This window comes from Homo sapiens, chromosome 4 (assembly GCF_000001405.40).
Source record: "Homo sapiens chromosome 4, GRCh38.p14 Primary Assembly".
NCBI classification, from domain to species: Eukaryota; Metazoa; Chordata; class Mammalia; order Primates; family Hominidae; genus Homo; species Homo sapiens.
This window is the reverse complement of record NC_000004.12, coordinates 165,677,622-165,690,214: the sequence shown is the minus strand read 5'-3', so window position 1 is coordinate 165,690,214 and position 12,593 is coordinate 165,677,622. Positions and strand designations below refer to the sequence as shown.

The following is a 12,593-nucleotide window of genomic DNA, read 5'->3' as shown; positions in this document are numbered from 1 at the left end:
GAGCTTTCAGTGAGCCAAGATCACGCCACTGCACTCCAGCCTGGGTGACAGAGCGAGACTCCATCTCAAAAAAAAAAAAAAAAAAAAAAAGTATGACACACAAGTACATGTGGCTGGAGCAGGGTGGAGAAAGGGAGATTAGGAGGAGTTGTGGTGAGAGAGGAAACAGGCCAGGGTGGGAAGAAGGTTCTGTAGGGCCTTGTGGGTCATAAAAAGGACTTTCGGCTTTTACTCTGAGTGACATGAGAGCCATTGATGATTTTGAGCGTAGGCATGCCACGATCTGAATCACTTTTTAAGAGGATTACTCTGAGGCTGGGCGTGATGGCTCATGCTTGTAATCCCAGCACTTTGGGAGGCCGAGGCGGGCGGATCACGAGGTCAGGAGATGGAGACCATCCTGGCTAACACGGTGAAACTCCGTCTCCACTAAAAATAAAAAAAATTAGCCTGGCATGGTGGCGGGTGCCTGTAGTCCCAGCTACCTGGGAGGCGGAGGCAGGAGAACGGCGTGAACCCGGGAGGCGGAGCTTGCAGTGAGCCGAGATCGCGCCACTGCACTCCAGCCTGGGCGACAGAGTGAGACTCCGTCTCAAAAAAAAAAAAAGAGGATTACTCTGGCTGCTGTGTCAGGAAGACAAGGAAGAATCAAGAGAGTCACTGATTGAAAAATGCTGCTATTTGGAAAGCAGCTCATAAAATAGCTGTTAACCAATTGAAGAAAAAGAATTGTTTTTGAGTACCAAGAAGTTTCAATGACAAACAAACAAACAAAAGATAATCAAACATTTCTCCCTCATACGCATGCCGCATATAGAGCAAACAAGGATTCTTAATCTGCATTTTAATGATTGTATCCAATTTAAATACCTACTTTCATGCACATACAGTAATACTTTCTCTTTCAGAACATGCCGTGACCTTATGAGATAAAATAATATTTAAAATGTTTATTATGCCTTCTTTCCAAGTATGATATTATCACTAATTCTGAGAATGATTTCATAAACCTTTTGGCTAGAATGTAACTTGTATGTGGTTTTAATATAAGAACTAAAAATTTGAATCTATCTTTAGTCTTCATTTTGGTGACAATACTCTTTTTTTGTTACTTTTTTTTCTCATTATGAAAACAACTGATTTGTCAGATTTTACTGCGTAATTATGAGAACAACATAAAACCTTCTATGGTTTCCTTTCACTATTTGAAAAAGTTCTGTAACACACAACACACTAAGGACAAGGTTCAAATGGCCCACAGGGCTAATAAAATTTGGTTTTTAAACGTTCATCAACCTGTCTCTGACTCAAGCTTTTGCTTTCTGATTATTCTCATAAATTCATCATACTTACATTTCCACTTGTCCCTGTAGCAAAATATTCATATTGCATAAGCAAACTGAAATCTTCTTTATTCTTAGTACTTAAAAAACTATTTTGTATTTAGCATTTGTACTAATATTTTACTATTATTTTAATGTTTTGGTGAACTGTATTTTGAGTCCTTGATCCACGTTGCGAATTTGGAATATATACAGCACTATGATCACAGCAACAACAAAAATAGGATTACCAGTAAGCAAAAACAATAATACAGAAATATGTAAACATAAATTATTTAGACAAATTAATAAGAGCTTGTAGCACATATACAATCCTTGAAAACATAATTATTCAGAACATAAAGACATTTCTGCAAAAAATCATTATTGTTCTTATACTTCAAATTTAAGAAATGTATGTGAGAAAACATTTCAGTCTAAAATGACTAAAACACCTATGAACCACCCATAGATCATCGGGGGCCACAAGTGTTCCATGGACTATGCTTTGAGAAACTGCCCTAGGGGGTTATTGCCCTAGGTTATTGCCAGAGCTTAGGGATGGAGAAGCTCTCAGAACAGTAAGACATCTCATTTCAACAAGGGGATTTGGCTTTCATCTAATTTACATATTGGGCTTCTGAGGAAAATTTTTACTTCAAAAAATGTTTCTGCCGATTTGAAAAAAAGAAACTTTAAGAAGCATAACCACTAAGTTGGTCTAGAAGCAGAAATGTGAAACAATCAAAGACAAGTTATTTGAAGAGAACAATATCATACCAGCAGCTAGAGGCACAGCTAGAATAAGAACCTAAGGTCCCCTAACATAAGACAGTGGTTTTTTCACGGTATCATGTTCTCCTCTTTATACAAAAGGAAGGAAATCAGGATAGGAGCCTCTTAAAGCAAAAAACTATTAAAACTGTGCAAAGAAGGCCTAAAGGAAATGCCTAAAGTAAATAACATGTCCAGTAAAACTTCTGGCATAGGCAAGATAAAGAGAAGAGAAATATACAGAATAATCTTTATGCTACTTCATGCTCTAAGAAAACAAAACAAAACAAATATTAACAAAATTTCTCATGTTATACTGTTTCAGGACTTAAAACCAAAAACGGATCGGCAGATTTTGGCATACCAAATTGATTGTTCAGTAAAATTAGTGGATCTACCATCTCGTCTGCCCAAATTTTTTGCTACTATTGAAGTTCTTTCTGTGGAAGACTTAGAATTCACTTGTCAGAGTTCCATTCTCTGATCATACCATTTCCCAGCCAGAACTACACTAAAAAACAAGCATCAACTGCTGACCTTTCAAATTCATCACTCTTTGAAACTCCAATCACAGAAAAATACTTAGGAAAATGTGCCTCTTTCATCTCTGTGTGGTGGATACTGAGTTCTTCCTACAGAAGCTGGCAACCCCGGTTCCTTTTCTCACTTGTGAGAAATGCTTTGAAAAAACCATGTCCAGCCAAAGTTCTCAGCCTTCTATTTCCTTCTTTACTTAAAATGAGGAAATGATTTGTAGAAAGGGGAAAAAAAACAATAATAGGATTCATTTATTGTCTACTTAGCTGGTCTGAATTATCTCCTAATCCACATCTTTGCTGACTCTAGGAACTCAAGTCCATTCTCAGCACTTGAAAAAGGCACCTATTTTGCAAATTTTTGTTCTTATACCCAACCTGGGAGTTGGTAAAACATAAATGCTAAACTTTCTTCAACATACACTAGATGCCTAGGTTAAAGTTACTATATATATAATAGAGGGCCAAGGAATAGACAAAAATCAACATTCTGTATGTGTGCACACACGTGGGTAAGCTCAAATATATACATTCAAGACTTCGCAATGCTTCATATTATTTGTTTTCACATCAAATTACTTCTGTATGCATAGTTATTTGAGCTAACACTGAAGTGCCTTTGCACTCCCCAAGTAACCACAGATTAGTAAAAGCTAACATTTATCGAGCACTCACCAGGTACCAGTGGTTTTGCTGGGCATTTCATGTGCCTTGTCTCATTTAATCCTCACCTCATATGAGGTGGACACACTTTACAAATGCTCAACCTGGGACTTCATAAGTTAATTTCCTGAGGTCACATAGCCAGTGATGAAAGTACAGAGCCTGTTCAAATGTAGGCCTAACTAGGTAGCTCCTAAACTGGACCACACTCTCTCCATAAAATGTAAGGCTGCTACAAGGATATTACTCATTAAATCGCAGTTTCCCCTCGATGAGGACTCCTGGGAGAGGCCACTGTCAGTTTCAGTACCAAGAATTATTGGGCTTCTCCTGAGCAAATGATTCCTTTTACCCTTATATTGCTTACTAAAAGTGTAAATGAAATTCATGACCCCCTTTCAGCAGGGAAGAACCCTTAAGCATTTACCTAGCAGCATATTCCTAACTTCATGATTTTGTTCCTATTCTCATTCTGTGAGCCCATTTTCTTTATTCATGTAATTTGGTTTTCATTTAATCTTGTCTTATTTTCTGTATCCATATAAGCCATCTTAACGGTTCTCTAGCACTAAAAGGAGATAAATGTACTAAAGAATAAGCAAAACTGGATGATAAGAGTTTAGAAATGTGAAAGATATTCCAGAAAAGACATCACCCTATGGTGAAAAATTGTGTCAGATAACTCGCATGGTGGTTAAATCACAAGTGTCAAAGTGATAACTTATTCCGAGAGACTGACCTATGACATTGCTGATGTGATGCTTTTCTCAGACAGTAGGATTTTGGTTTTTCACTAAAGAGCTTCATCATATCAGCAACAAGTTGGAAATACCGACTTTAACTTTTCTTCTAAAGTTGTCTGGAAAGCATAAAAATAGAGATCGGTGGTGGGGATTTGGGTAGCTGATAAGAGAACATGTTACTGCTACTATTTTCTGATTTTTTTCTTTCAGTTCATAAAACAGATAAATAATGTATGTTTCTTTTTTCTCTTCTAAAACTTTATATTAGAGTGTATTTTTAGCTAGACATGTAGTTGAATACATGCATTACCTTTCTCTTTAAAAAAATTGCAGAAAACCCCAGAATAAAGATGAAAGAAGCTCTATTTTCTTTCCTTTTTCCTTCAGTAGTCCCTGGCAAATGAGAAGAAAGAAGGATTTCTCCTGTGTAAAAACAACTGATGTACTGGTGTATTCAATAAAAATATATATAATCATTTGATATTTTAAATATTCAATATAATATGAACTTACTTTAATTGTCAATATTCATATTACAACAAGACAACACAAATTACCAATGATTACAGGCTTGTCTTCCATATACACCACAGTACTATTATTAAAATCATGACAGGATAATACATCTGTATGAACCAGTACAGAAATAAACTCCATAATTTACCAGATTTTTCCCTCTTTACTATATTTATTATATTTCTAAAAATAGGTGAAATCACAAAATTGTAATGTTCCATCTTTTTGACAATCACAACTAATATCTTCTCTGTAATTTTAATTTATAAAAAATTGGCATTTTAACGTAGTTGAACAATATATTGTGTCCATCACAACAGTGGGGTTTCTCACTCTATATCCCCTATAAAGAACTCATCCTACTTGTGTTAAAGAATATGAAAGTAATTTTTATTTTTTTAATTATAAATTTTTCTGTGGTTGGATTATGACACGCCCATGGAAAACTTTATAGTTAAAACGCATTTACAAGAACAATAAAAGAGTCCTGAGGTGTGCTATCAGCCTTTGGTTCAGTACAGTGCTTTCTTGGGGTAGTTTGTATCTGGATTCTCCACCTTAATTCCCATCAAATTAAATGTTTTAGCTGAGGCTATTTTGAGAAAATGTAAAACAAAGAAAACATGTGTAAGGATTCCCTGACAGTTTAATTATCCAAGTTCTCCCAAATCCTTGAAATGAAAGTTAATTGCCATAGACCTTACCATCATTTCACTTTTTCTATCAGGACTAATCGATCCTAAGATCCCTGTAAAAAGGAGAAAACTTAGACAGCCCAGATTAAATTGGTCCACTGGAGTACATATTGAAGAGACATGTCGAAATTCAGCCTCTTAAAACACACCCTCTTGAAACCCGCTCTGTAGTCATTCATTTCTAAACTCCCCTTTCTTAAAGATTGACTTACTTTCTTTACTGGGGATCTTGGATGAGAAACTTCTCTGGAGAGAATTCAAGTCTGGGCAGTATGGCTGGCATGGGCCTGCGGAGAGATTACTTCAGTGACCACTGAAACAAACACCACCTGTGAGCTAGCACACGGCAGTTGTTTAATGAAGCACAGCATCACATGCAGAGCAATTTCTGATGGGAAATGAAGATCCCACTGGAAATTGCTAGGGGCATTAGACAAGCAAAATGTAATTATCTGAACTGAAATCCAGCTGACATCTCTGACAACAAATACCAGGGGATCTTTAAGGATCAGATGCTCCATTTTAAGTCAGTGCCTCTGGCTTCAGTGTTCTCTGCTCCCGCTTCGTCCCCCCAAGGAGGAGAGAACACCTCACACTGAGTCACCAGCATGTATTTTGTCTGCCAATTCTTTCTGCTAGCAGAGAGGAGGTCGGGCTTACACTAACAGAGTAATTGAGACACGTATCCAAATATTTTAGGCCAAATGAATTTTGATTCTTTCCAAATTAAAAGAATCATATAATATTTATAGAAACTAGAATTCTGCCTTGCCCACTTTCCTATCCCAGACAGAGCCAGTTTCCCTTGCCTTTTTAAAGTAGACACTTGGAGATAGGGTATCTTGGATTGGCCCTCTGTGGTGCCCAATGAAGACGTTCATTTAAATTGCGTCTTTTGTAAATGAAACTTTTAGGAAAGAACTCTTGGACCTTTCAGCCATGGACTTTGTTGTTGTTGTTGTTGTTGTTGTTTTTAAGACAGAAACTAAGTGAACAGATTAAAACCAGGATATGATCTGAGCTGTGCCAATGTTTGGTCTTGGGATTTTAAGTACCTCAAGTGAGATTAGATACTACAGTCACAAAGAAGGGCTTTTTGCCTTAAGAAAAAAAAAATGAAAACTTTGAAAGTTTTCAAGAATATTAAGAATTAGAGCTAGAAAAAATGTCTTTGTTCAATTATCTTTTAATGGTGAAGGCGTAGTTCTTCTAGTATATGTATCATGGATGTTCTCCATTTTAATTTTTAATATTTCAGTTCACATTAGCTGAAGTGCCTTCCCTTGAGAGGATTTTTATAATCTGTCTTAGCTGTTAGAAAATTGTTGCTGGTACTTTACTTAGCTCAATTTTTCCTCTGTTTAGGTTCATGCTATTAGTCTTAATTACATTCTACTGGACTTCTCTAAATAGTTCTTTCCTTTCCTCCTTGATTTATTTACCTCATCATAGGAAAAATACTGTTTACTTCCTGAACAAATGTATCGTTGTCTCTGTCATTATTTTATTTGCTTTGAGTCCTCTCCTCATTGCCCCTTTAAAAAGAGTGAGTTTTGGTCCTGTTTTGTGCCATTATCTGGCATAATGATTAACACCAGTGAACTGGTTTGAATGATGATGTATATAGTTACCATAAGTGTAAAACACTGATGGGGTTGGTAACTTCCTTTAAAAAAAAATTACAATCTCAGATAATGTACATGAGGAACTCACTCTCACCATTACGTAGAAAGGTTGTGAAACTGAATGTAGGGATTGCCTTTTTCACGCTCTACTTCTCCACGTGCTAACATATTCAGTCTTAATTGTGTAATTATTTGTTTAATATCTGCTCTCCTCTTTAGACTGAAGCTTCATGAGAGCAGGGCCACATTTCTCTACTTTTTCTCCGAATCTTTAAAACCCTGCACAGTGACCGTTACATCATAACATGATTAACAAGTATTTGTTGAGCAAAGAAATAAAAGAAGTTGGATCTCAGAAACTCACAGAGCCTTGTGTAGCCTGTCATCTCCTTTATCTTCTCTATATTACTCCAGTCCTTTCACCACCTCTACCTTTTAGTTTGGTTTTATAAGATTATTTGTTCTCTGACTCATATTTATGGAAATATAGCCGATTACCAACAAATACTATTTCTACTTCCCTGAGCTCCTGAAATTAAACACAAAGGAATTTGTGGTTTTGGATTAATATTTGTCAACTATTCAAAATAATGAACTCATCTAAAAAAACCTAGGTCCTCTTAGCAAAATTGACCTTATTTAAGATGATTAAGCCACCCATTCACATTACAGAATTCTAGATTTTATTCTTTGCCAAATTCCAAAAGGCCTTGCACTTACATTTTTATTTTTATTTTTTAGTTAGAGTCTTGCTCTGTCACCCAGCCCAGGGTGCGATTTCAGCTCACTGCAATGTCCGACTCCTAGGTTCAAGTGATTCTCATACCTCAGCCTCTGGAGTAGCTGGGACTACAGGCCTGTACCACCACACCCGGCTAATTTTTTGTATTTCTAGTAGAGATGGGGTTTCACCATGTTGGATAGGATAGTCTTGAACTCCTGACCTCAAGTGATCCAACCACCTCAGCCTTCCAAAGTGTAGGGATTACAGGCATGAGCCACTGCGCCCAGCCATACATTTATCCACCTCTAATAGCACCTCTGAGTCCTTTTCATGACCCTCTACTGCATCCACCCCAACCTGAGAAGTGTGATGTTACTGTCTTGTCTCGGTACCATGTGCCTTCTCTCCTTTCATTGCCAGGATCTTTGAATAGGTACCCTAACTTTTTTAAATATATTTTTTATTTCAATAGCTTTTGAGGTAAAAGTAGTTTTTGATTACAAGGATGAATTGTTTATTGGTGAAGTCGGAGATTTTAGTATGCCCATCACCTGAGTAGTGCACATTGGACCTAATATGTAGTTTTTCATCCGTCACTCCCACTGCCCACTGTCTGAGTCTACAAAGTCCATTATATTGCTCTGTCTGCCTCCACATACCCCTAACTTAGCTCCCACTTATAAGTGAGAACATATGGTATTTGGTTTTCCATTCCTGAGTTACTTCACTTAGAATAATGGCCTCCAGTTCCACCCAAGTTACTGAAAAGGACATTATTTCATTCTTTTTTAATGGCTGAGTAGAATTCCATGTAGTATATATACCTCATTTTCTTCAGCTACTTGTTGGTTGATGGGTACTTAGATTGGTTCCATATCTTTGAAATTGTGCTGCAATAAACAGATGCATGTAGGTGTCTTTTTGATGTAATGACTTATTTCCCTTTGGGTAGATATCCACTAGTGTGGTTGCTGGATTGAATAGTAGATCTACTTTTAGTTCTTTAAGAAATCTCATGCTGTTTTCCATAGAGGTTAAACTAATTTGCATTTCCACCAGCAGTGTATAAGTGTTCCCTTTTCACCACATAACAGGACTAAATTTTAATTGGAAATTTCCCCAGGAATTGCTGCCACCAGCTTATGCCAATCGTATCCATGCTCATGCTCAATATTCTGGTTGCATTCCTAGCTTTCTTCTCTTGGTTAGTGGTATCATGACAGAATTCTCCCAATCACTAAGACTTGAGACTTTAGGATAGTCTTTGGATTAGCCCTCTCCTTCATCCTCTAGGTCCAACTTTCCAAGCCCTTCATTCTTTTTCTGAATAGTTTCTGATCCATTACTTTGTCTTCATTCTTACTGATGGCACCCCAGGCCTGACCTTCATCTGACATCTGGATACTATGTCATGAGAGTTCCCTAAGAGAAGCCTCACAGACTTTAGTCCAATGTCTCTTCATCATATACAATGCATCATTTTCTGCTTCAATTTCTGTTCCTAGCCTTATTTTCCCTTTTCTTTCTCAGCTGCCCCAGGCTGCCCCTTTGAACTCCTTTCCTCCACACTCCTAGCCTCGTGCCCACTCCAGTCATTCTGATGGAATCCTACCTTGGCGCTTGTGGACTTCCTTTTCCCTCTGCCTGGAATGCACATCCCTTCATCTTCTCTAGCTCACTCCTACAACTTTCAGGTTTCTGCTCACTTAATTAAAAAGACCTCTGTCCTGTCCCGTCCTTCATCACTATCCCCTGACACTGCACGTACTACTTGCCTATGACGTAGTTATTTATTTTCTGTTACTCTCTTGCTAGAATGTAAACTCTGTGAAAAATAGATTTTCTTTCTTTTATTTTTCTTTTCCAGAGCATCTCCAGGAACTACAACAGATAGGAGCTCAATAAATATTTGCTGAATGAATAGCTAAATTATGTTTCATTTTTGTTATTCTGTATCATATATAATATCTAAAAATAAATTAGACCGGGCGTGGTGGCTCACGCCTATAATCCCAGCACTTTGGGAGCCAAGGTGGGTGGATCACCTGAGATCAGGAGTTCAAGACCAGCCTGGCCAACATGGTGAAACCTCGTTGCTACAAAAATACAAAAATTAGCCGAGCATAATGGCGGGTTCCTGTAATCCCAGCTACTTGGGAGGCTGATGCGGGAGAATATCTTGAACCCAGAAGGTGGAGGTTGCACTGAGCTGAGATGGCGCCATTGCACTCCAACCTGGGTGACAGAGGAGGCTCCATTTCAAAATAATAGTAATAATAATAATATCAATGATAAATTATAATATTCACATGTTCTCCAGTATTCTGGGATTATCATTTTCTTTCCCTCACTGCAGTAGAAATATGAGTATCAATGGGTATTTTAATAAAATCCAAAAGGTGAAGGAATGTAAGGAGGAAGGAATTACTTGGCCTCTTTTGTGTTGTTTCTTCGTCTTACACGAACCTGCTGCTCCAGGCTTTCCTTCAGTAATGCCTGCCTATCCTATAGGCCACGGCTCCTGGGCATTCTCATTCTCTGAAATCTGCTTCCTCACCAAAGGTGGACTAGCATCATAGATTTCCTTTGCACGAACAAATTAATATGGCACCCAAATTAGCAAATGAATCTTGCTACCATCTCTGTATATTTTGTGTGTGTGTTTTGTTGTTGTTGTTTTAGAGACAGGGTCTTGTTCTCTCCACCACGTTGGAGTGCAGTGAAGCAGCCATGGCACACTATAACCTCAAACTCCAGTGTTCAAGCGATCCTCTTGCCTCAGCCTCCAGAGTAGCTAGGATGACGGTGTAGGCCACCACACCCAGTCACCCGGTTAATTTTTTATTTTTGTAGGGACTGAGTCCTGCTATGTTGTCCAGAGTGGTCTCAAACTCTTGGCCTCAAGTGATCCCCTCACCTTGTCCTCCCAAAATGCTGGGATTACAGGCATGAGCCACCACGCACAGACCCTGTACATTGTTAAAGTCTGGCATTTTTTCTTTCTGCTACAGTAAGTTATTAAAAACTATTAAATCATAATAGTGATTAACATGAATTATTTACTAATTTCCCAACATGCATTCAATCCTCACAATCACTCAATGAAGTCAGTATTGTTATTAAAATCTCCATTAACAGATGAGGAAAATTTGGCCTAGAAATATAACCAACTATCTTAATGTCATGAAACAAGTTTGTGAGTCAGGAATCAAGCCCAGGTCTGTCTGACTCCAAAGCCCACCATCCTTTACCACTTCCAGCATAAAGTACATTAAATCTCCTTTGGAACCAGGTGGAAAAGTGAATGAATGAACAGATGAATGATTAATTGCACCCATTTTTTTTCATCTTATTAATGGTGTTTAATAACCTAATTTCAAACTAACTCAAAGAAGGGCTGGTTTTTGTCCAGGGAGAGCATTCTGCAAATAGGGGCCATTAAGCAGACAGCCTGAAGGACCACCTGCCAAAGATTGAGCAGAGGATGTTTCTGAGCTGCGTGGGAGGCAGAACTCCATAACCTCCAAGGTCTCTTCAAGGTCAAGTGATGCATTCTATGACTCCAAGAGGTTTTTAAAAAATGGAAAATTTAGAATATATATGGTCTATTTAAATAGAAATAAAATTAATCTAACTTCATCTTTCTTTTCTGCTTTTCCAAAAAAGAAAAAATTATTTTAGGGTGAATCCAGGAGACAATAATCAGAATATCAACATTTTGAACTCTATCAGCTTTAATTCATTTTTCCCTTCGAGTTTATACTTTTGTAGCACTGACTTTTCTCTAGAGTCAAAGAAAATAACAATGGTAAATAACGAGCTCTTCGTGTTCCTGGAACAAACTACTCAGTGCTAGAAATGTCGGCTTCAGCATGTGCTGAGAAAGCATCCAGATGTTAGCCAGCTGAAACAATATATCCTAGTGCATCTAAATAAAAAAATTCATCTTCCTTTAAAAATTGGAAGTCAAAATGGGGTTTAGGATTCCCAATAAGGGTCAAGAAACAGCAAGTATTTATGAATCTCTGAACCTGCCTATTGCCAGAAGGTATCTGTACAGTTCTTAGAACACTGAGAATTAAAAAGTAAATAAAATGCTAGATATAATAGCTAACCTTTCTGATTACCGTAAATTGAGCTAATAATAGCAAAAGTGCCTAGTGTTTATTTGGTTATTACTTGTGAGTTTCACATACCATGGTCATGGGTTGCTCAGAAGAACGAGCTGTAGGAAATGCAAGAGAGAGGAGAGGTGACAGAGGAATTGGAAGTTGTGCAGATCATTGGGAGATCTAGGGACAGGGAGGGGCATTCTCCACCCACTCCCCCTAAACTCTTTAAAAGGGCAAATGAGTAAAACTGTCAAGCAAACAGAACAAAAGGCTAAGGAACCTGGAAAACTTTAGAAATAAACATTGCTTTTCAGAGTCACAGAAGAAGAAAGGTTCGTTCCTATAGAAATGAAATTGAAGAAAAAATGAATTAGAAATTAAGACATAAAACATGGATGCTTTGATTTTTCCTCAGCACTCCTCCCATCAGTTGAGCCAGGATGGACTAAAGTATGTTTCCCAAAGTGCGACCCATCCCCACCCAGCATTAGATTCATGGAGTTGATTTAAAAAAAAAAACCAGAGTGAAAAAAAAGAAACCAATTTCTGAGCCTCACATTAGACTCAATGAATAAATATTCCTGGATAGCGGGCTCAAACAATTCACATTTTACAATACCACCCAAGTGATTCTCATTTACAACATAGTTTGAAATCTTTGGGATGTGAATAGCATTTTGTGGTAACTAATATTTTAGAGAAATGTGAAGTGCAAGGCCATGATTAATTTTGAGCACAAGAATAAAGGAAGAATCAGCTTAACTTTCAGAAAACAGAAGGCAAATTTAGCAAACAAACAAACAAGAACTGTTGAAAAATAAGGAAGCTAAAACGAAGTTTCTCTTTTCTAATGTCCCTTTCTTCATTCTATCTTAGAACAAAA

At 37.5% G+C, this 12,593-nt stretch overlaps 1 long non-coding RNA gene across 1 annotated transcript in view; it reads right to left on the bottom strand.

The window, feature by feature from the left end:
• The window catches only part of LINC01179 (long intergenic non-protein coding RNA 1179), a 78,140-nt gene extending 72,564 nt beyond the window's left edge, over nt 1-5,576 (bottom strand). Inside the window, exons 1-2 of the long non-coding RNA NR_121676.1 lie at nt 5,462-5,576; nt 4,349-4,431 (exon numbers count right to left, since the gene is read on the bottom strand). This is a non-coding gene — a long non-coding RNA (long intergenic non-protein coding RNA 1179). The remainder of the gene's footprint in view (nt 1-4,348; nt 4,432-5,461) is intronic.
• Between the last annotated feature and the right edge of the window lie 7,017 nt (nt 5,577-12,593).